The sequence below is a fragment of the Homo sapiens genome, chromosome 1 (assembly GCF_000001405.40).
Source record: "Homo sapiens chromosome 1, GRCh38.p14 Primary Assembly".
Taxonomy (NCBI): domain Eukaryota; kingdom Metazoa; phylum Chordata; class Mammalia; order Primates; family Hominidae; genus Homo; species Homo sapiens.
Window position 1 is genome coordinate 43,299,819 of NC_000001.11, and position 23,341 is coordinate 43,323,159.

Sequence of the window (23,341 nt, forward strand, 5' to 3'; positions counted from 1 at the left end):
GTCACCTAAACTGACACCAAGTCTCATCCATCCCAACCATTCCATTCCGGGTCAGAGGGGTCATCGATTTAACCAGCAAGGCTGCCCATCCAACGGTTGCTCCCTCTGCTCCCTGGAAGGGCCTCCTCGTGGGCGTTCTGTACCTACAGGTCTTGTTCCGTTCTGGGAACTGCCAGTGGTGGCAAGAGGTGGAGCAACGGGTGCCAGGGCAGGGAGAGGTGAGTCTGGGAGGGAAGCAGAGGCAAGATCCATGGGGCTTTAGAGACTTTGCCAAAGCAGTGCGACTGCTCCCAGGTTGTTGTCAGCCGTCAAGAGTGAGTGCACCTCCCTGGGCAGACTTCTGCTGCCCCAGTGCCCAGGAATAGGCAGGGGTTTGCCGCAAAATGAATGACACCTGGCAGACAATAAGCTGAAGCTTTCATTAGCAGCTTAAGCTGAGGACTATCTATGCAACCGATACTCCCTGTGTGCTCCCCGGGACTGCTTAATGTGAGCCCTTGTGGAGCGATTGGCACCAAGAAAGCAAGGACTAAGTCAGAAGTTCAAGTCCCAGCCTTGCCACAGCCTCAGGGTGCCCTCGAGCACAGCAAGCCTCAGTTTTCCCATCTGTACAATGAGAGAGGTACACAAGGTAGACTCGAAGGCTCTTTGTTGCCAGGGCCCTGTGTTCCTTTGAGTGTATGTGCTTCTCAGGCCCACAGAGGTCCTTTGTGTTTCGTATGTGAACTGCTCTCTAGGAAACCCATGTAACTGTCTGTGTCCTGGGGCACATACATGAGGACTCATGTGGGCCGTATTGTGTGTTTGTGCCGGGGGGAGGGGAGACCCCAGAACAATGTCCCCCACCCCACCCCCCTCCTCAATAGGCGGAAGCCACTGGCTTCCTCCCTTTCCTGCCTCCTGCCTCCTTTGTGCCAGCAAGACTGAGTACTGGAGAGAGACAGGGGATGGGAAAAATCAGTCCAGCTGTCCCCAGGTCTGCCCTTACCATAACCTTCCCCCCACCTCAAGTGACTCCTCCCAGGCCACACCCATCCCCAGCCTTGTGGGGGCCAGATTGGGGGGCCTAGAGGCTCAAAGGCAGAATGAGTCCTCCCACCCCCTACCCTGCCACCCCTCCCACCCAAGCCACCTCATTTCCTCTTCCTCCCCAGCACCGACCCACACTGACCAACACAGGCTGAGCAGTCAGGCCCACAGCATCTGACCCCAGGCCCAGCTCGTCCTGGCTGGCCTGGGTCGGCCTCTGGAGTATGGTCTGGCGGGTGCCCCCTTTCTTGCTCCCCATCCTCTTCTTGGCTTCTCATGTGGGTAAGTCTCCCCTGAGTCCCTCACCCCATTTCTAGGCCCCGAGGCCCTGATTTCTACCCAAGAAACCCTATTTTATCATAGAGACAGAAAGTAGGATGATGGTTGCCATGGGCTGCAGGGAGGAAGAAATGGGGAGTTTTGTTTAAAAGGTACAGCGTTTTTACAAGATTTTTACTTGGTTTTACAAGATTAAAAGAGTTATAAACATGGGGCCGGGTGCGGTGGTTCATACCTGTAATCCCAGCACTTTGGATGGCTGAGATGGGAGGATCAATTGAGGCCAGGAGTTCAAGACCAGACTGGTCAACATAGTGAGACCCCGTCTCCATTGTGTTTAGACTTTCGTCTTTTTCAAAAAAAAAAAAAAAGGATGGATGGTGGTGATGGTGGGACAACACTAGGAATGTATTTAATCACATTGGGTTATATGCTGCTTACAAATGGTTAAGATGGCAAAATTTGCCGGGTGTGGTGGCTCACGCCTGTAATCCCGGCACTTTGGGAGGCCGAGCGGGTGGATCACAGGGTCAGGAGATCGAGACCAGCCTGGCAAACATGGTGAAACCCCATCTCTACTAAAAATACAAAAATTAGCCGGGCGTGGTGGCAGGAGCCTGTAATCCCAGCTACTTGGGAGGCTGAGGCAAGAGAATCGCTTGAATCTGGGAGGCAGAGGTTGCAGTGAGCTGAGATCGCGCCACTGCACTCCAGCCTGGGCGACAGAGCAAGACTCATCTAAAAAGAAAAAAAGATGGTAAAATTTATTTTATATGCATTTCACCACAACAAAAAATTTTGGAAAACAAGCCCTATCATCACTGCCATCACTTTGATCCACTAGAAAGTGAGATCAAGGCCAGGAAAACACAGGCAAGTGCTAGAAATCACTGCAACCTGGGATCAGGGGAGGAGTGAGGAGTAGCCGCTGACTGTGTTGGATCTGAGGATCTGTGGAGGGCCATTTTCAGGGGGTGTTCATAGGGTAATTGTGTTGGATTCACTCAGTTGTTCACTGGACAAACATTTATTGAGCACCAACAATATTCCAGGAGTTGTGCTAAGTGCTGGGCCATTAGTTGAGAGGCTGGCAACACCTAGTCTGTACAATGAGATTAAATGATGCCAGCCTCCTATGGTTGTTATGGGGTTTAAATGAGAAAATGATGCAGAGCAGTTGGCACAGTGCACTGTGCTTGGTAAGGATTTCTGAGTAGGTGGCAGCTGATTCCTTCAGTCTGCTGGTCAGCCGATTAGAACACAGAGGCTGCCTTTGAGTGGTTCATGGTCTAGTGCAGAACACAGGACAGGGGAAGAGGGCTAAACAGGGACAGACACAGGAGCTCTAGAGGAGCACTGAGGAGGAGTTCAGCTTACACTGCCTCAGGTAGGAGACAAAAAGGGAATCAAGGAAGATTTCACTAAGAGGGGTGGTCTTCATTCCAGGCAGCCAGAACATAAAAAATGCAAGTCTCAGAGGCATGGAGGTGCATGGGAGAGAAGGTGCCTGTTAGGAACACAACAGGAGGGATAGCGTGGGAGCATCACGGGGCTTAGGAGCACGAACATTATCCTGAGGGCAATAGGGAGCCATGGGAGGTCACAGGCAAGAAAGTCACAAGGTCAGGTTTGGTCTTAGATCACCGTGGAGGATGAGTTGCAGAAGGAGGGGCTGTGGCTGTTGGGATGGTCTAGGTGAGTAAGGATGAGGGCTGAACAAAGGCAGGCTGGGGGGGTGGGGATGAAGTCAAGAAGCGTTCAGGAAACAATGTGCAGAATTCTATGACTGATGAGGCAGGCAGCACAGTGCTCAGAGATGTGGACTTTAGAATCAGACAACCTGGCCCTGCCACTCACTAATTGTATGACCTTGGGCAAGTTACTTAACTTCTCTGAGCCTCCCTTTCCTGGCTATAAAACAGGGATAATAACATCCACCTCCCAGGATAGCTGGGATGGTAAAATGAAACAATATCAGTAAAGTGCCTGGTGCATAACTGGCAGCCAATAAACATTCATTATTATGACAATGGGAGTAGAGATGACTCCATAGTTTGTGTCTCAAGTGGCGGGTGCTGTCCAGTGAGTCAGGGAGCACTGGAGAGGAGCAGATTTGGGAAAAGCTGATGGAAATGCAGGTCCAAGCTGAAAGACCGTTCCCGAGTTACTGACTCAGAGGTGATGGTTAAAACTGGGGGAGTGGGCGAGCTTGCTCAAAGAAGCCAGTAGAATAATTACCATGATCCTCCTCTGTAACTGGAAAGAATATCCACTTCACTGGTTGTGAGGATCCAGTGGAAAATGGGGGTTGGTATGTGGTGGGCGGTCAGTAAATGCCAGCTTCGTTTGCTCATGGTAGCCTTTCAAACACTGATAAGCTAGGTGGCATTTAAACTAATGAACTGCTTGACAGTCAGCTACAAGAGACAGAGAAGGAAGGGCTTGGCTGGTGGAGGGGTTCTGGGTCCTGGAGCTAAGGCAGGCTCGCAGGCTCTCCACCGTCCAGACTGGACTCTGACTCCACCTGATCTCTCCTGCCTCAGCCTCACATTTTGTACTCCAGTCACACAAACCTGGAGAGCCCCCTCCACCTGCCACAATATTGCCACTGCAGGCCTCTGTCCAGGCTGTTCCCTCTGTCTAGGATGCCCTCTCCCTGCCCCTGATTTCTCTCCCTCCCCATTGTCCTCACGCCAATGTGCCCTGCTCCAACTGTACCTCCCAGGAAGCATCTCTTCATCTCCCTGAGCTCCCCCAGGCTGGAGCAGGGGTCCCTTCTCTGTGCTCAAAAGCACAGCGCCCTACATTTGGCAGCTGTGTTCATGCCTGTTCCTCCAACTAGGGCGTGAGCTCTTTGGAAGGCAAACAAAGACCAAGACCTACCTCGTGTCTGTGTCTGTCTGGGCTCCAGGCCTTGCCCTGGGGCTGCCCTCCCTGGCTCTGGGCCCAGCCCCAAGCTTAGCTCCATTTCTTTTTGTTTTTCTTTTTCTGGAGAATGGGGTCTTGCTATGTTGCCCTGGCTGATCTCAAACTCCTGTGCTCAAAGGATCCTCCCACCTCTGCCTCCTTAAGTGCTGGGATTCCAGGCGTGAGCCACCGCACCCAGCCCTAGCTCCATTTCTGTGCCACAACCTTCTGGCTGCAAAACTCAGCCTCTCCCACCTCAAATCCCAGCCCACCAGACATTTCTAGATCTCCATAGTGACAGAGAGGGGGACCCATGGGACACTTCTGTTCTGGCTGGCTCTCCTGGCCTGCACTCTCGTGGTGGAGGCAGGGAGAAGTGGCTCACAGCAACCTTTGCAGGGCAGTTTTAGAGACGAGTGGGGAAACAGGACTGATAGAAATAAAGTGAGGAAACGGAGACAGGGAGCATAGATCATTCTTTCCGAAAGCTGGGGCGAAAGGGAAGCCATCTGGCAGGAGAAGGGAGGGGACACGGCCAGAGAAGGATTCGTGGTTTTGTTTTTGTTCTTTTAGAATGAAGAGACTTGAGGGAAAGAGGCCAGTGCGCATGGAAGGGGAAAGGAGGGGGATGGGAATGCCTGATAAAGTGAGGCCTGTGGGGTCTGAAGAACCGGGCAGGGGAAGGAAGAGGGGTGAAGGTTGGAGACCCTCTTCTGAGTGGACGGTGGATCAGTAAGACCAGAGGGCTGGGGCTGGGGGCTCTGGGGCACTAGGGTTGGCTGGGACTACAATAGAGTCACTGGTGTCCTGGCCCCAGGCGCGGCGGTGGACCTGACGCTGCTGGCCAACCTGCGGCTCACGGACCCCCAGCGCTTCTTCCTGACTTGCGTGTCTGGGGAGGCCGGGGCGGGGAGGGGCTCGGACGCCTGGGGCCCGCCCCTGCTGCTGGAGAAGGACGACCGTATCGTGCGCACCCCGCCCGGGCCACCCCTGCGCCTGGCGCGCAACGGTTCGCACCAGGTCACGCTTCGCGGCTTCTCCAAGCCCTCGGACCTCGTGGGCGTCTTCTCCTGCGTGGGCGGTGCTGGGGCGCGGCGCACGCGCGTCATCTACGTGCACAACAGCCCTGGAGGTGAGTTAGGCAGGCGGGGGGATGGCGCGGGGAAAACCAGGCCGCTGACCCACCTTCCACCCCGCAGCCCACCTGCTTCCAGACAAGGTCACACACACTGTGAACAAAGGTGACACCGCTGTACTTTCTGCACGTGTGCACAAGGAGAAGCAGACAGACGTGATCTGGAAGAGCAACGGTAAAGAGGGGCATTTGAACTGGTGGGGAGGGTAGACCCATCGTTCTGAGGCCCCAACACTTTCATGACCCATGGGACCCTCAGCTTTGGCCCCTGACACACCCGACCTCCAGGGCCTCTCCTCTGTAGTGGACCAGGTCCCATGGGATGTGCCTGCACCCATCTTATCTGTAGTTCTGAGCTGCCTTCCTTCTGTACACAGAGGGCCAGGAGCCTGTGGTCAGCTGCCCCTTCCCTCTTAGCCCCAAATGAGCACGATGTTAAACCCTCATCTCTCCCCTGGGAGTTAGCAGGTGCTGTCACATAGCCCACCTGGCAGACCGCATCAGTCCCCCTGAGGAGGAAGAGAACTGGTAACATCATGCCCAACACAGGCAGGGCAGAGTCTAGCCTCTCCCAAAGATCTGTCCAGCCCAGATCCTTGATGCCCAAGACAGCCTCATGCTGAGGCCTGGGTAGACCCGTGGGATCTCAGTCCCAGGCCTGTCCTCCACCCTGACCCTTTGGCCACCCCATAGAAGGAAGCTGTTTTCCTATGTGGCCCCAAGATTCCTGCCTCAGTCCTCAGATTCACAACCCCTTGGCTGACTCTTGCATACCTGGGCTCCTGAGGGAGGAAGACCCTTCCCTTTGGCCAAGGGGGCTGCCTCCTGAGCTCTGGACCCCGTGAATTGACAGGAAATGTGAAGAGGCACAGGCAGACCTGGGTCTCTAGGCTCTCTGTTCAGCCCTGAGCAAAGAGGCAAGAAGCGGGTGGGGCAGCGACTGGAGCACTCTTCTAAGAGGGAGAGGCTCAGGGGAGAGACCCTAGAGTAGATGGCACTTGAATTGTGCTCAGAGGAGAAGTGGGAAGACAAAGAAGGCAGAAAAGGAAGGAAGGGCCTTCCAGGAGGAGGGACTGAGAAGAGCAGTAGGGTCTGAAACACAAGGGTGTTTCTAGAAGAGAAACAATCCATTCAGGAATTCAGGAATGTTAGGAGTCAAGAAGGGTGTGAAGACGAATGGGGCTGGATGGCTTGGCCACGGCCAAGTTGGTGAAAATGATGTCTAAGGAGCTGGATTTTTGTCCTGAGGTCACTGGAGAACCAGGAGAGTTTCAGCAGAGGAGTTAGAGAGGAGTCTGTTGTAAAAAATCACCCTGGCTGCTGGGTGGAGGAGGGACAAGAAAGGGTGACACTGGAGGCAGAGGAGCCTTGTGAGGCCCCTGGAGGCTAGGACCAGGGCAGTGGCAGTGGGTGTGGGGAGAAGCGGACTGGGTTAGGGGATGAGGAGGAGATGGACTGAGCAGGACTTGGTGATTTACTGGGTGGCTGGTGGAGCATGAAGAAGAGGGCACTTCTGAGCTTTCTGGCGTGGGCATAGGCTCTCGTGGTGCCGGCCCTAGGTCTCATCACTGTGCATGGGGCTCATTGATGTGAGCTGAGCAGAGGTGGACAGAGAGAGGTGACACAGCCCTCATGTAGTGCTGAGGCCCCTGACACATTCATGTCCCCCAGGATCCTACTTCTACACCCTGGACTGGCATGAAGCCCAGGATGGGCGGTTCCTGCTGCAGCTCCCAAATGTGCAGCCACCATCGAGCGGCATCTACAGTGCCACTTACCTGGAAGCCAGCCCCCTGGGCAGCGCCTTCTTTCGGCTCATCGTGCGGGGTCAGAGGCAGAGGGCAGAGGTTGTGGGTAGGGTGGGAGGCTGGGAGCCCTATGGGTACTTCCTGTGGGTCCCCTGGAGCCCCTGGATCTCCAGTCCTCAGTGGTCAGGTGGGTGAGGGTCAGCTGCTGAAGACACCTTCCTCCAGGTTGTGGGGCTGGGCGCTGGGGGCCAGGCTGTACCAAGGAGTGCCCAGGTTGCCTACATGGAGGTGTCTGCCACGACCATGACGGCGAATGTGTATGCCCCCCTGGCTTCACTGGCACCCGCTGTGAACAGGGTAAGGAGGAGGGGAGCTAGGACCCAGGCAGGAGAGGATCCCTGACTGGGAGAAGACCCTAGAACCATGTGGGTGGAGCTTGGAGGGTAAGGGCGACAGGCAGGTCCTGGGCCCAGGGGCCCACAGAGGCCCATACACCCCACACACTCTCTTTCTAGCCTGCAGAGAGGGCCGTTTTGGGCAGAGCTGCCAGGAGCAGTGCCCAGGCATATCAGGCTGCCGGGGCCTCACCTTCTGCCTCCCAGACCCCTATGGCTGCTCTTGTGGATCTGGCTGGAGAGGAAGCCAGTGCCAAGAAGGTATGCCTAACCTACCCTCATGGTCCCTGACCAAGACAGCTGGCCAGGAGCTTGACCCGGACCCTCCACTCTGCCTCTGACTTACGCAGCAAGCCCTCCTGCTCACTTGACCAGTCCTTCTATCCTCAGCCTGTTGTATAACCTGTGCCCCATCTGCGCCCTCATCTGTGCCCTCATTGCCCCCTGTCCCATGCCCCTCTAATCATACCTCCTCTATTCCCAGCTTGTGCCCCTGGTCATTTTGGGGCTGATTGCCGACTCCAGTGCCAGTGTCAGAATGGTGGCACTTGTGACCGGTTCAGTGGTTGTGTCTGCCCCTCTGGGTGGCATGGAGTGCACTGTGAGAAGTCAGGTATAAGCACTATGACCTCTGAGAGCCCCCCAAGATAAGTCGGCCTTTACCAAACACATCTCCCCGGTGGAAGAGAGTAGTCCCTCCTTTCCCTACGAGGGTCCAAGTCCTGCCCTCAGGGAGCTTAGAGTCTGATGGACAGGGAGCTCTGGCAGGGAGTCAGTCTGGTAGGGAGTCAGTCCAGCAGGGAGCCAGTCCAGCAAGGAGCTCACTGCCAGCCAGCCATAGTGGAAAGGGCAGCAGCCCAGAGAATGTGGGAGCCCAGAGGATGCCCCTGGGCAGACTGAGCAGGTCAGAGAAGGGTCTGGAAGCAGGTGTGATCTGAGATTAGATATGAAGGACAAAAGAGAGATAACTGAGGAAAGAACAAGAGCAAAGACCCAGGGATTGGGGACTCAGGTTTGGGTGCCAGGACAGTGGAGTAGGGGACCCAGGGATTGGGGACTCAGGTTTGGGTGCCAGGACAGTGGAGTAGGGGACCCAGGGATTGGGGACTCAGGTTTGGGTGCCAGGACAGTGGGGTAGGGGACCCAGGGATTGGGGACTCAGGTTTGGGTACCAGGACAGTGGAGTGGGGGACTGGGGAAATGGTCAGAAGAGGTCAAATCGTGGGGCCTTTGAATGAAGGCCAAAGAGTTTGCACTTCATATGATGGGGCAAGAGGGAATTGTTAAAAAGGAACAAGGTAGTCAGATCCGTGTTGGAGAAAGGACCCCTAGCTGCTGGCCGGGGAGCGGGAGCAGGAGACCCTCGAGGACTCTGTACCTAGGGACCAGAAATGATGAGGCCTGAGCTAGTGTGCTGGCTGGGAGGATGGTGAGGGGTCTGCTGGCAGGTATTAGACGGTATCGGGAAGTGGGGAGGTGGTTAGGAAGTAGACTTTGCAGCTGATGGGATGTGGGGCTGGGACGCTGGAGGAGTCATGCGGGCCTTTGCTGGTTTTCAGGCTGGAGGGACTGGGTAGATACCTCCACTGAGAAACAGAACACGGATGAGGGGCGCTTTGGTGGTCACGTGTCTGCCCCTGTGGGAGCTCCAGGATGAGTGTCCTTTCTCCCCAGACCGGATCCCCCAGATCCTCAACATGGCCTCAGAACTGGAGTTCAACTTAGAGACGATGCCCCGGATCAACTGTGCAGCTGCAGGGAACCCCTTCCCCGTGCGGGGCAGCATAGAGCTACGCAAGCCAGACGGCACTGTGCTCCTGGTCAGCCCCCAATCACCCCAACCCACCAGCCCCTCAGGCCGCCTGCTTCACAGCTGATCCCTAAGACCCCCTAGTCCCTCAGAACTTTCTGCAGGGCCCACCCATTGGCCTGACCATTGCTCACATGAGGTCAGGCTGATTGGTGAGGGGGCTGCCACTGGGCCTCTGTCCTGCCATCAGTCCAGACGGACACCTGGGTGCCTGCCACAGAGGTGCCCGTTCCCTGTGACCTGTCCCCTTCCCCCATCTCTTTTAGTCCACCAAGGCCATTGTGGAGCCAGAGAAGACCACAGCTGAGTTCGAGGTGCCCCGCTTGGTTCTTGCGGACAGTGGGTTCTGGGAGTGCCGTGTGTCCACATCTGGCGGCCAAGACAGCCGGCGCTTCAAGGTCAATGTGAAAGGTCAGTGATGTCCTAGGTCCACAGGGAATGGACGGTGAGCAGAGTAGGCTCTAGATGATGCTGCTCAGGCTGGAGATACTAGCAGGAAGGACAAGGACATCTAAGGTCATAGCCTAGCACCAGACAAAAAGCGGGGTTGTGGTCAACCAGAGGTCCGGGCTGGGCAGTGTCAAGGCTGGAGTACAGCTTAGACCCATCTGGAAAGGACATCCCGTGCCCCAGAAACTGGGGACACTCTCCAGCCCCGCCCTTCCTCCTGCCCAGCCATGCTGTCCCCCACCAACCGTCACACACAGACAAGTATACCTTTAACTCTGCTCTGGGATGCTGCCTCCCATCTCTGAGTCACCCCACAGACACTCAGTGCTAGCCCAGGGGAGCATATGGGGCTATGGAGCTCAGAGGGTGACCAGCTTGGCTTCCTAGAAGTGGTGCATGCCTAGAAATCTTCCAGGTAAATAAGGAGGGACCTCCCAGTGCCCAAGATTACTCAGACCAGAGCACCCCCACCTGCTCTAAGGCCTCCTTCGCCTTCTCCAGCTTCTCCAGCACCCTAAGTCTTAACCATTCACACCCCTGCCACCCCCTGACCCTGCTGTCCCTCTGCTCCTGCCACCCCATGTAAGCCCCCTCTCTCACCTTCTGCTTTCTCGTTGCCACACTCTGCCTCCCAGGTCCTCGCCATCTCCCTATCCCGTGACTATGCATGACTCTCTGCCATCAAGCCTCACCTTCCGCCTTTCTCTTCTCACTGTGCCCAGGCTTAGGAGCCAGACAACCTGGGCTTGAATCCTCTCTCCACAAATTCCTTGCCCCATCACCTTAAGGAAACTACTTAACCTCTCTTACTTTGTTTCTCTCTTTGTGAAATGGGGATAGCTAGCACTTGATGGGGTTGTTACAAAGATTAAATTTGATGATGTATTTAAGCATTTAGCACAGTGCCCGATACAGGGTGTGTGCTCAATGTATGTCGATAATTATTGTTATTATTTAAAATGTCACCTAGTCCCTAGATTTTGATAGTTCTCTGGCAGCTCTCACATATGATCTGCAGCCAGGACCCCTCTTCTGACTCCAGATCATTTGGTGGGGACTCCATGAAGTGGGGCATCTACTCTGGAAGTCTGGTTTTGAAGTTGGTGTGGAAAGTAGCTGCTGTATGATTCGGAGGCCCATTTTATATCCAGCCACTTCCTGGACATCTAATCCCCTGCGTGAGCCAAAGGCACCAAGGGCTTCTCTGCACCCAAAATGGACCTTCATCTCCCCGCAAATCAGCACTGCCCTCCTGACATGCTCATTGCTGCCTGACACTCCCTCAGCTTACAGCGCGGCATCCTTTTCCTCCCTCGCTCCCTCCCTCTTTCCTTCCTTCCTTTCCTCTCAAAAAGCCAATCTGGTAAACATTTGTAAGAGTCAAGGGAACCTGTTAAAAGCACTAATGCAATAATCTGGAGAGAAAAAGTTGAGGCCAGAATAGGAGCAGCGATCATGGGGTGAGGAAGTGGGGCAGGAACAAGAAGGCTGTTTTGGAGTAGAATGGATAGATCTGAGGCGGCCTGCGCAGACAGACCTAGTTCAACACATGGCTGTATCTCCTTCTAGTTGTGTGTCCTTAGGCAAGTTATTCGGTGTCTCTGAGTCTCAGTGTTTTCATAATGCAGGGTAATGTGCCCTGACAGAAAGGTGGCTGTGAGAATTAGAGGTCATGCTATGAAGCGTGTGGCGGGGAGCAGGTGCTTCAGTGCCAGTGCCATTTTTTTTTTTTAATAAGAGAGTGGTGAATGAGGGCAGGGGCAGAGAGCAGGATGATGCCCAGGTAGTCTCCCTGACCTGGGTTTCGGCCCCTTCTGTCTACCCCCACACTGCATGGGAAGAGTGCACCCCCAAACCATGTCTGGCCATGTCACTTCCTCATCTACCATCTTTTGGGACACCCTCATGCCTTTATTGCTTAATCCTTGTGCCCCAAGCTACCCAGGGGCCTGAACTCTGTCCTCCCTGGGCCCTGGCCACTATGGTCATCTGTTGAACTTGGTGTCCCTCAAGCCCAGAGGGTCCCCAGCTTGAAACAAAGATGCAGAAGTGGACTGGATAGGCTGTGTGCCCATGCCTTACCCTGAGTCTCCTGGCAGTGCCCCCCGTGCCCCTGGCTGCACCTCGGCTCCTGACCAAGCAGAGCCGCCAGCTTGTGGTCTCCCCGCTGGTCTCGTTCTCTGGGGATGGACCCATCTCCACTGTCCGCCTGCACTACCGGCCCCAGGACAGTACCATGGACTGGTCGACCATTGTGGGTGAGTAGGGAGAGAGCTGGGGCAGGACAGAGGTGTTGGGTAATAGTGAAGGGATACAGTGAGCAGGAGAGGGAGGGCAAATGGTGCGAGGGGGCTGAAGGGAGCATGGCAGCTTCTAGAAGAGGTGGGGGCTGAATAATGTGTGCTTTACACCCCACGCCCAGTGGACCCCAGTGAGAACGTGACGTTAATGAACCTGAGGCCAAAGACAGGATACAGTGTTCGTGTGCAGCTGAGCCGGCCAGGGGAAGGAGGAGAGGGGGCCTGGGGGCCTCCCACCCTCATGACCACAGACTGTCCTGGTGAGAGGCCAAGAGTCATCCCTTCCTGTCCCCCCAAGGGTTACTTTCCCGTCGACCCCAGGGACCCCTGCCTTTCCCACTGGAGGTTGTTCTTCCTTGTTCACTGGGGATCATTGTCCTGTCCAGCCCCAAGTACCTACTGGACAGTTCTGACCCCTGACCTCTGGCCCCAGAGCCTTTGTTGCAGCCGTGGTTGGAGGGCTGGCATGTGGAAGGCACTGACCGGCTGCGAGTGAGCTGGTCCTTGCCCTTGGTGCCCGGGCCACTGGTGGGCGACGGTTTCCTGCTGCGCCTGTGGGACGGGACACGGGGGCAGGAGCGGCGGGAGAACGTCTCATCCCCCCAGGCCCGCACTGCCCTCCTGACGGGACTCACGCCTGGCACCCACTACCAGCTGGATGTGCAGCTCTACCACTGCACCCTCCTGGGCCCGGCCTCGCCCCCTGCACACGTGCTTCTGCCCCCCAGTGGTATGTGCAAGGCGCAAGGATAGCTGGGGGTTGGGGGAGGACGTGGGACACAGGGACACATGAGACCTAGGAGACACGGGAGGCTGTAGGAGATTAATGGACATGGAGAGGACACAGGACACACATAGGGTATTAGGCAGACGTGACCCCAGCGGGGACATGGGACTTGGGGAAGATCCAGGGTACCAGGAGGACACAGATCACCAGGAGCATGTGGGGAGAGCATGGGGAGGTCAGGGTTCATGGCGAGAACCAGGGTCATGGGAGGGCATGAGACTTGCGGAACACAGGGCATGGGCGGATGTGGAGAGGACTTGGGATACAAGAAGTACAAGGAGAAGCAGAAGCTTGAGGGTGAAAGTGGCCTGGGGGAATGGAGAGGAATTCAGTCTGGTGGGGAGGAGGAAGTTGGCAGGGTGGCCCCTGTGCTTGGACCCACAGAGGAGGGAGCACAGCTAGAGCAGATGTGTCCAGCCCCACAGCTACATAGCCCGGTCCTATCTGAGCCTTGCCTTCCCCCACCATCTCCCCAGGGCCTCCAGCCCCCCGACACCTCCACGCCCAGGCCCTCTCAGACTCCGAGATCCAGCTGACATGGAAGCACCCGGAGGCTCTGCCTGGGCCAATATCCAAGTACGTTGTGGAGGTGCAGGTGGCTGGGGGTGCAGGAGACCCACTGTGGATAGACGTGGACAGGCCTGAGGAGACAAGCACCATCATCCGTGGCCTCAACGCCAGCACGCGCTACCTCTTCCGCATGCGGGCCAGCATTCAGGGGCTCGGGGACTGGAGCAACACAGTAGAAGAGTCCACCCTGGGCAACGGTGAGAGGGCAGGGCCCACAGGACCCCCCGGGCTCTGAGCGGGGAGAGCTCAGCACGCTCTCCTTCCACATCACCCCCTACTGTGGAGCTAGGGCATCCCAGGCCCCTCCTGACAAAGAGTCAGCCCCAGTCCTGGGGACTCAGCCTTCCATTCTCATGATCCACTGTCCCAGGGCTGGGAAAATCATGTCGCCCCTCTGACACCCCTCATCCCTTCCTTCATGTGGCCCAAGTGATTTCCTGACAGTCCTGGCACTGGGATCTTTCACCTCTCCCTCTGTGTAACCCCATGGTGGCCTCTGGGTTCCCTGACCCAGGTGTCCCCACAATCTGCCCCTCTCACTGTGTCCAGGGCTGCAGGCTGAGGGCCCAGTCCAAGAGAGCCGGGCAGCTGAAGAGGGCCTGGATCAGCAGCTGATCCTGGCGGTGGTGGGCTCCGTGTCTGCCACCTGCCTCACCATCCTGGCTGCCCTTTTAACCCTGGTGTGCATCCGCAGAAGCTGCCTGCATCGGAGACGCACCTTCACCTACCAGTCAGGCTCGGTCAGTGACCCGCCCCGCCCCTGGGTGCATGCTTGCAGCCCGTGTTTATGTTTCTACCTGTGTACACACAATACCTTGTACACCTTGTGTGTGTGTGTGTGTGTGTGTTTATGTTGCAGGTATAAGATTACACTCAACAATGTTCAAGGGTACAAAATATAATTTTCTTTATTTCTCTAAAACTGAATTCAGCTCATGAGCCCATTTATATTAGTGGTGAAATATTTAATATTCCCATTTCAAAAGAATTCCGTGATGACCATATTTCACAATGGACATTCCAGTTTTGGGCTCCGTCAATTGGAGATTTTCCTCTCCCCTCTTTTATTTCTCCCTAGCGGTTATCTAGGCCTAGATAGCAAGGTGATCAAATGGAAGGGCACTTGGGGTTCATGCTGGCTTTTGTCCTTGCAGGCCTTCCTGGGCTCGGGAGCCAGCCTCTGTCTGCACACATCTTTGGCTGATGTTCTTAGCCCTGCTGTGGCCACCTGCCAGTAGGCCAGTCATGCTGTGAGCTCCTCATCCTAACCTTCATTCTTGCAAATCCCAGGGCCTCCTTTTGGAGACTTAAGAAAGGGGCTGGGCACAGTGACTTGCACCTGTAATCCTAGCATTTTGGGAGGCTGAGGCGGGTGGATCGCCTGAGGTCAGGAGTTTGAGACCAGCCTGGCCAACATGGTGAAACCTTGTCTCTACTAAAAATACAAAAATTAGCCAGGCGTGGTGGTGCATGCCTGTAATCCCAGCTACTCGGGAGGCTGAGGCAGGAGAATTGCTTAAACCCGGGAGGCGGAGGTTGCAGTGAGCCGAGATGTTGCCACTGCACTCCAGCCTGGGCAATAGAGCAAGACCCTGTCTCAAAAAATTAAAAAAGAAAAAGAAACAGAACTAAAGAACTGTAGGGGCTTCCTTATACCTTATGGAAGGAGGCATATTCTGTGGCCCTCAGACCGCTGCCACAACCCCTTCCCACTTAGACAACTGTTTCTACCACTCCAGAATTGTGCTGGCCTGCTCCTTGAAAGAGGAAGCACAAACCTCCACTCCTCCTGGCTTCCCTGTAATCCTGCCCGAGTTGTCTGTCCTCCTGTAGCCCACACCCTTCTGTCCCTCAGGCCCCTGCTTAGAGGTGGGGTGTGGGAGGGCACCCACTGTCACTTTATCCTGTCACATTCTAGCCGCCCATCCGCAGGTCCTGTCTCCTCTGAGGGCTTCTTCATTGTCGTCACTTAGGATCTGAACTCTGTCCTTGGCCTTCCAGGCCTGGACTCTTGATATTTAGAGCTAAGCTTTGGCATTTCAAATAAAAAATAAAAAAAGAAAGAAAACCCTCTTCTCTCTCAAGGGCTGATCCTTGTGATAGAAAGCCTAGTGTCTCTGCTATGCCTTTGAAAAATCCATTCAGAGGCCGGGCGTGGTGGCTCATGCCTGTAATCCCAGCACTTTGGGAGGCTGAGGCGGGTGGATCATGAGGTCAGGAGTTCAAGACCAGCCTGCCCAGTTGGTGAAACCCCATCTCTACTAAAGCTACAAAAATTAGCCAGGCACAGTGGCAGGAGCCTGTAATCCCAGCTACTAGGGAGGCTGAGGCAGGAGAACTGCTTGAACCCGGATGGCAGAGGTTGCAGTGAGCCAATATCACGCCACTGCACTCCAGCCTGGATGACAGAGTGAGTGAGACTCCATCTCAAAAAAAAAAATCCATTCAGAGATTCAATTGGCTTCTTTGTTCCAAGCTGTGTTGGCTCTTCCTCTGAGGTCAGTGCACACAGAAAGCCCTCACTGCTGTGGTGGGGGAGGGTAATGGGTACAGATGTCGAGGGCAGGAGGTGGGAAAGCAGTCCTTAACATACATGGTGTCATACTCTATATCAAGATATATCCCCCTAGCCTGGGCAACATGGCAAAACCCCATCTCTACAATAAAAGAAAATATGAAAATTAGATGGGCGTGGAGGTGTGCACCTGTGGTCCCAACTACTCGGGAGGCTGAGGTGGGAGGATTGCCTGTGCCCAAAAGCTCGAGGTAACAATGAGCTGAGATCGTGCCATTGCCCTTCCGCCTGGGCAACAGAGCGAGACCTTGTCTCAAAACAAACAAAAAGATATATCCCTGGTACATGTGCCTGCATATGGATAGGAAACGTGTGTGCACAAATGTGTGTGCTCCATGTATGAGTGCACACGTGCATCCCCTGTGAGTGCCACATGTTTAAATGCGTGTGTCCCAGATGCACGTGTCCCTATGCCTGTGCACCTTCAGGCCTGCATGTGTGTATGGACCTATACATGATGCACCTACATATGGTGCTGCCCAAGAACATCACGTGCATTTGCTATGTGCCGTCAGCACCAGTGCTTCTTGCAAATCCCTGGGCCCCAGGTCCTCAGCCCTTGCCCATCAAGCTGGACTTCAGTGCACTTAGGAAGCCCCACCAGAAGGTCTGTCTTAACCCTGCTTCCAGTTCTCATATTGGCAGTTTCTTTGGTCCTGTTCACTTATTTCCTTTTCCCACCATCAGCCCCACCCAGATGGCCTCCTCCTACTGAGTTAGGAAATTGGACATTCCTCTTTGTTATAGTCTTGCTATTTTCAGGTCCTGGCCTGATTTTAGAGCTATGGAGAAAAGCCAAGTGTGTGGACAGGGTAATCTCTGCTTCTGCTACTGTGGAGAAAACCCCTCCACTGGCTCCCAGCAGCTCAGGGCTGAGCATGTAGTAGGTGCTCAATAAATGTCCCCTGGCCTACTCCCTAAGGCTGGAATCTTCTCCAGAGCTTCCCTGGTGACCCCCAACAACAACAACAACAAAAAGCCTGGTTGTAGGATTAGCACAGTCATAGGAAGCTCATTCCGATCCTTTTCTGTTTTAAATGTTAGAAATATCCTCCTTCCATTGACTCACATTGTGGCTTCTAGCAACTTTACCCACAAGCCCTGGTTCTGCCTTCCAGAGTCCCGTACACTAGATCCCCTGGCTGCAGCCTCTGCATTTCTCTCCTTGGACATCTGTCCACCCAGCAGCCTACCTGTGGCTCTGTTACCTATGATTCTGTCTCAGTTATGTCCTCTGTCTGCCTGTCTGTCCCTGGCTGACCACCAGGGTGCCCTCCATCTGGGTCTCTGCCCACTTGTCTGACACTGAAACCTCCTCGTGTGCCTGTCTGTGCCTCCTTCCGCCCCCTTTGACTCTTGCGTGGACCGTCTGCCCTCTTGTCTCATCCTGTGAAGGGCGAGGAGACCATCCTGCAGTTCAGCTCAGGGACCTTGACACTTACCCGGCGGCCAAAACTGCAGCCCGAGCCCCTGAGCTACCCAGTGCTAGAGTGGGAGGACATCACCTTTGAGGACCTCATCGGGGAGGGGAACTTCGGCCAGGTCATCCGGGCCATGATCAAGAAGGACGGGCTGAAGATGAACGCAGCCATCAAAATGCTGAAAGGTCCACTGGGGCGACCCCTGGCCCAGCCCTGATGCTCTCCTTTGTCCCACAAATCCCAGGCCCCACCTGGCTTCCTCCAGCAATTGACCCCAGCCCTTGCCAGCCCTTTCTCCAGAGTTATTTCTGGCAAAATAATATTGGATTCTTTACACAGAGTATGCCTCTGAAAATGACCATCGTGACTTTGCGGGAGAACTGGAAGTTCTGTGCAAATTGGGGCATCACCCCAACATCATCAACCTCCTGGGGGCCTGTAAGAACCGAGGTGAGCCCCCAGCTCATCACCTACCCCTTCTTCCAAACCCCCATCCTCAGCCATCACCTCCACCACATGAGTAGCTTGCCAGGGGCTGCTGGTGACCTGTGCACCACCCTTGATCCTCCTTCATCCCTGTCTGTTACCATCGGGTGCCTGCTCCCACCCTAGGTTGCCTGTGTCTAAATCACCACTGTCTGTCTCTTTGCCTCTCAGGTTACTTGTATATCGCTATTGAATATGCCCCCTACGGGAACCTGCTAGATTTTCTGCGGAAAAGCCGGGTCCTAGAGACTGACCCAGCTTTTGCTCGAGAGCATGGGACAGCCTCTACCCTTAGCTCCCGGCAGCTGCTGCGTTTCGCCAGTGATGCGGCCAATGGCATGCAGTACCTGAGTGAGAAGCAGGTGTGTGTGAGTGGGGGCGGGTGGAGGCCAGAGGGGGAAGCCACTGGGCTGGTGTCAGTGGAAGAAGTCAGCCGGCCCTGATTGTATCTGGGGATTGAGGTTCCTGGCCCAAGTGTGTGGGTGGGTGCAAGCACAGCGAGGAGGCAGGGCCAAGGGGCAGGTCTGGAGGAGGTGGGGACTTCCAGTATGGAGGGTGCGGGTGTTGAGTGAGCAGGTCTAGATGCTAGCCTGGAACTCAGGAGAGAGGCCCAGGCTGGAGACAGCATCTGTGTGTGAGCTGTCACCCCACAGATGGTGCCTAATGGCAATGGGCCTGGTGCGATCTGCCGGAGAGGGGGAAGGGCAGAGATCCAAGCCCAAGTCAACTCAGGCCTGAATGAGAGGACAGGGGGATGACTGTCCAGGGGAGTGTGAGTCTGAGGGAAGGCATTTTATCTTTTTTTTTTTTTGAGACTGAGTCTCACTTTTTTGCCCAGGCTGGAGTGCAGTGGTGCGATTTCAGCTCACTACAACCTCTGCCTCCTGGGTTCAAGCAATTCTCCTGCCTCAGCCTCCTGAGTAGCTGGGATTACAGGCATGTACCACCACACCCAGCTAATTTTTGTATTTTTAGTAGAGACGAGGTTTCACCATGCTGGCCAGGCTGGTCTCGAACTCCTGTCCTCGAGTGATCCACCCGCCTCAGCCTCCCAAAGTGCTGGGATTACAGGCATGAGCCACTGCACCTGGCCAGCATTTTAAAGATAGTAAAGTTTTGAGTATGTTTGAAAGCAGAGGGGCAGGGGAAGGGGCCAGTGCAGAGGGAGGGGCTGGTGGAGAGAGGTCTCTGGGGAAGCTGGAGGGCTAAGGGAGAGAAACTGGAACCCAGGGGATGGGAAGAGGGAGGGGGAGAAGCATGGAAAGAGGAGAAGGTGCAGTATGGCCACCACTGTCTCAGGAAAAGGGATCCAGCCTGAACTTGGTCAGGGCCCAGGAACGAGCGGGTGAGAGCCAACACTGATCTTTCTCAGATATGAGTCAGCTGACGAGATTGCAGCCAGGAGGGTAGGAGTATGGGGTATTGAAGGTAACAAGGGTACCCACGAAGACTGACTCCTTACTGGCCTGACTGTCCTGGGCTCCCTCATCCCCAGTCTCTCCTGACTTCTGACCCTGCCTACAGTTCATCCACAGGGACCTGGCTGCCCGGAATGTGCTGGTCGGAGAGAACCTAGCCTCCAAGATTGCAGACTTCGGCCTTTCTCGGGGAGAGGAGGTTTATGTGAAGAAGACGATGGTGAGTCTCATTCAACCCTCACCCTTAGGGCTTGTGCCTGGCCCTGCCCCACAGGAGCCTCAAACAGGCCCTTCCTCCACACTCAGCCCCTCAAACCCATTCTCTCCTAGGGGCGTCTCCCTGTGCGCTGGATGGCCATTGAGTCCCTGAACTACAGTGTCTATACCACCAAGAGTGATGTGTGAGTGTGAGATGAGAGGGCACAGGAGGGCTTGGCCCCCAAGAATCACCCAGGCCTGACCTAGACATATCTCAGAAATGTCATAGGTGGTCTAAGGCATGACCTGGGCTGTGTTCCAGGTGTGACACAGGTGTGTCTTGGGTATAAAGTACCTAGCCAAGGTGGGGCTTGCTGGAAGGAGTCTTGGAAGGTGTTTCAGGAATAGGACTGGGGTAAAGGTAGTTTCGGATTATGTTTGTGTAAGTGACGGGGGATGCCTTGGAGAGGTTTGGGAATGCTGGCGGATGCTTCCTGAGGTAGATGGAGAGGCCACTCAGGAATTGCTCTCATCTTCCTCCCTGAAGGGCAAGGTCATGCCCACCTGAGGATCTTACCAGAGCATGACCCCCAAGACTCCCTCTCTGTGCCCCCTCCCCTGCAGACAGCCCTCTTGGCACACTCCTCCTGTCTCTCCAGGGATGTCCATCTTGATCTGAACCTACCCCTTGCCCCAAGCCCTTTGGCCTTGCCTGCATGGCTCACTGCTTACCACACTGATCACTCCTCTGACCACTACATGCCTACTTCGTGCTTCTGCCCCAACACTCCCTTGATTCCCTCCACCCCCTTTGAACTCTCTCCCCTGGTCTCAGGGCTGATGCACACTACACAGAGGCTGTTAAAGTGTGAGATGCAGTCAAGAGTAAGAGCTTTGGAGCCTGAGTTGGAACGCTTGCTCTGCCACTAACTAGCTGTATGGCCTTGGGCAATCTAGCTAACCTCTCAGTGCCTCAGTGTCTTCATCTGTAAAATGGCAAGACTAATAGAACCTGTATCATAGGGTTGGTGTGAGGGTTAAATGAATTAACATGTCTGTTAAATGACCAGGGCCTGGACCACGGTAAGTGCTCAATAAAAATGTTAGCTCGGCTGGCTGTGGTGGCCCACATGTGTAATCCCAGCACTTTGGGAGGCCAGGCAGGCAAATCACTGGAGACCAGGAGTTTGAGACCAGCCTGGGCAAGATGGCAAGACCCTGTCTCTACTAAAAATACAAAACATGGCCGGGCGTGGTGGCTCACGCCTGTAATCCCAGCACTTTGGGAGGCCAAGGCGGGCAGATCACAAGGTCAGGAGATCGAGACCATCCTGGCTGACACAGTGAAACCCCATCTCTACTAAAAATACAAAAAGAAATTAGCCGGGCATGGTGGCGGGCACCTGTAGTCCCAGCTACTTGGGAGGCTGAGGCAGGAGAATGGCGTGAACCCAGGAGGCAGAGCTTGCAGTGAGCCGAGATCTCGCCACTGCACTCCAGCCTGGGCGACAGAGCGAGACTCTGTCTCAAAAAATAAATAAATAAATAAATAAATAAATAAATAAAAATACAAAACATTAGCTGAGCATGGTGGCACACACCAGCTACAAGGGAGACTGAGGTGGGAGGACCACCTGATCCTGGGAGGTTGAGGCTGCAGTAAGCCACTGCACTCCAGCCTGGGTGACAGAGTGAGACCCTGTCTCAAAAAAAAAAAAAAAAAAAAAACAAAACAAAAGAGCTCTAATTGTGCTGAGCCCAGGGATGGGGGCAGTATGAAGGAGCTTCATTGGCGCAGAGACAACAGCTGGCCAAGGCCAGATACTTACAGAGTAGACACATACAGCGGGGCTGGGAGGCACTGCACATCTTGGGCAGGTAGAAGCTAAACTGCTAGGGACCAGGGCCTAGAAGGTAACTAAGTGCATCCTTCTTATTTCAGCTGGTCCTTTGGAGTCCTTCTTTGGGAGATAGTGAGCCTTGGTGAGTTCCTGATCCCCGTCCCCCAGAGTGCCCCACCTTACCCCACGTGGAGCCCTGGACCGAGAGCACTTTGTCCCCTCCTGCAGGAGGTACACCCTACTGTGGCATGACCTGTGCCGAGCTCTATGAAAAGCTGCCCCAGGGCTACCGCATGGAGCAGCCTCGAAACTGTGACGATGAAGTGTGAGTCACCCCATCCTTGAGCTCCATGATCCTATCTCTGTGATGAGTGACCTCAGCTTTGATCCCTGTGACCCCATCACCCCAGCTGGCCTGACTCCTCATCTCAGCAATGCCCCCTCGCAGGTACGAGCTGATGCGTCAGTGCTGGCGGGACCGTCCCTATGAGCGACCCCCCTTTGCCCAGATTGCGCTACAGCTAGGCCGCATGCTGGAAGCCAGGAAGGTGAGGAGACTGGGGCTGAGGTGGCGGGCTGGGCTCACAGAGTGCTCCAGAGTGCCCTCTCAGAGGTGCCATGACCCCTGTCCCAACCACACTGCCTGCCCAACCTCCCTCAGTGGGGGCTGTCACCACGGCTAGGCTGGGCCCCAGGATGCAGCCTGCCTTTCCAGCCCTCACTGGTTTAGACACCAGGCCCTTCCAAAACTCTTCCAAGGCCACTGCTTAGCCCCAACAGCAAATCCCTACCTTAAGCCCCAAGTCCCAGACTGCTTGCCTGTCCTCTGCTGAGGCCATCAGCCTGTCCTCATCTGGGACACCTCTCCCCACCTGCCAGAGCCAGAGCAGAGTGCATGAATAGTCACTAACCAGATGGATGGATGGGTGAATGAGTGATACAGTAACCGTATGAATGAATGAATGGAATTAGTGGATAGATGATACAATAATCATATGAACATGTAATTCAATAACTCAATCTACTAACCATGTGAATAAGTGAATTATCAAATAAATATAATGAAAAATATATCAAAATTAGTAAATATGAAGAGTTCTTCAAGTAAATTAATGATTAAATAACCATCTTAAGAATGAAGGAATGATCAAATAACCATATAAATGGATGAGTCGTCTAAAATGGCTTTTGAACAGATAAGTTACTGAATGAATGAACGCATAAGCCAAGAATTCATTGAAAGAGTGCATGTAAAAACCCTCCTCTAACAATGGCATTGAGAGCCTCTCACCTGAGGCCCCAACTGTGGCCTGATGCCTTCACTGCCCTGGGCTGGTAAAGGCCACTCTTGGCCATGGGGCCATCTTAGGTCTCCAGAACAAATCAGTGTCAGTTCAAATGCCCCCACCACATGGAAGTCCAGGAGCTTGAGGCCAGATGCACCCCCATTCCTGGCCCCCACTAAAGCTTGCTCTGCCCCCAGGCCTATGTGAACATGTCGCTGTTTGAGAACTTCACTTACGCGGGCATTGATGCCACAGCTGAGGAGGCCTGAGCTGCCATCCAGCCAGAACGTGGCTCTGCTGGCCGGAGCAAACTCTGCTGTCTAACCTGTGACCAGTCTGACCCTTACAGCCTCTGACTTAAGCTGCCTCAAGGAATTTTTTTAACTTAAGGGAGAAAAAAAGGGATCTGGGGATGGGGTGGGCTTAGGGGAACTGGGTTCCCATGCTTTGTAGGTGTCTCATAGCTATCCTGGGCATCCTTCTTTCTAGTTCAGCTGCCCCACAGGTGTGTTTCCCATCCCACTGCTCCCCCAACACAAACCCCCACTCCAGCTCCTTCGCTTAAGCCAGCACTCACACCACTAACATGCCCTGTTCAGCTACTCCCACTCCCGGCCTGTCATTCAGAAAAAAATAAATGTTCTAATAAGCTCCATTCAATGTCTACCTTTTACTGCTGGTCAATCTTGGGGTGAGGGGCGTAGTT

General features: G+C 54.7%; 1 protein-coding gene across 6 annotated transcripts, besides 3 other annotated features; it reads left to right on the forward strand.

Moving 5' to 3' along the window:
- Positions 1,004-1,103: a silencer, noted in NCBI's record as "silent region_777". NCBI's record gives its function as "represses an Ori minimal core promoter by ATAC-STARR-seq in GM12878 lymphoblastoid cells {active_cell/tissue: GM12878}" and the evidence as "EXISTENCE:reporter gene assay evidence [ECO:0000049][PMID:35858748]".
- Positions 1,134-1,223: an enhancer, noted in NCBI's record as "active region_915". NCBI's record gives its function as "activates an Ori minimal core promoter by ATAC-STARR-seq in GM12878 lymphoblastoid cells {active_cell/tissue: GM12878}" and the evidence as "EXISTENCE:reporter gene assay evidence [ECO:0000049][PMID:35858748]".
- On the forward strand, positions 1,164-23,290 carry TIE1 (tyrosine kinase with immunoglobulin like and EGF like domains 1). Of its 6 annotated transcripts, none has more exons than NM_005424.5 (23): positions 1,164-1,311; positions 5,033-5,347; positions 5,415-5,525; positions 7,022-7,177; positions 7,324-7,455; positions 7,614-7,754; positions 7,978-8,106; positions 9,168-9,313; positions 9,570-9,714; positions 11,853-12,011; positions 12,176-12,313; positions 12,487-12,783; positions 13,317-13,607; positions 13,960-14,150; positions 17,381-17,591; positions 17,746-17,856; positions 18,064-18,254; positions 19,417-19,530; positions 19,641-19,711; positions 21,451-21,491; positions 21,578-21,674; positions 21,798-21,897; positions 22,833-23,290. In NM_005424.5, the coding sequence occupies exons 1-23, from the start codon at positions 1,254-1,256 to the stop codon at positions 22,902-22,904; spliced, it is 3,417 nt and encodes a 1,138-aa protein (NP_005415.1). In that variant the 5' UTR covers positions 1,164-1,253; the 3' UTR covers positions 22,905-23,290. The 6 variants fall into 6 exon arrangements, with proteins under 6 accessions (NP_005415.1, NP_001240286.1, XP_005271220.1 ...); NM_001253357.2 differs by having other exon boundaries at positions 5,116-5,347; XM_005271163.3 differs by lacking the exon at positions 7,978-8,106.
- Positions 21,125-22,324: an enhancer, noted in NCBI's record as "CDK7 strongly-dependent group 2 enhancer chr1:43786614-43787813 (GRCh37/hg19 assembly coordinates)". NCBI's record gives its function as "activates an origin of replication core promoter dependent on BRD2, BRD4, P300/CBP, MED14 and CDK7 cofactors, with strong dependence on CDK7, by STARR-seq in HCT116 cells {active_cell/tissue: HCT116}" and the evidence as "EXISTENCE:reporter gene assay evidence [ECO:0000049][PMID:35650434]".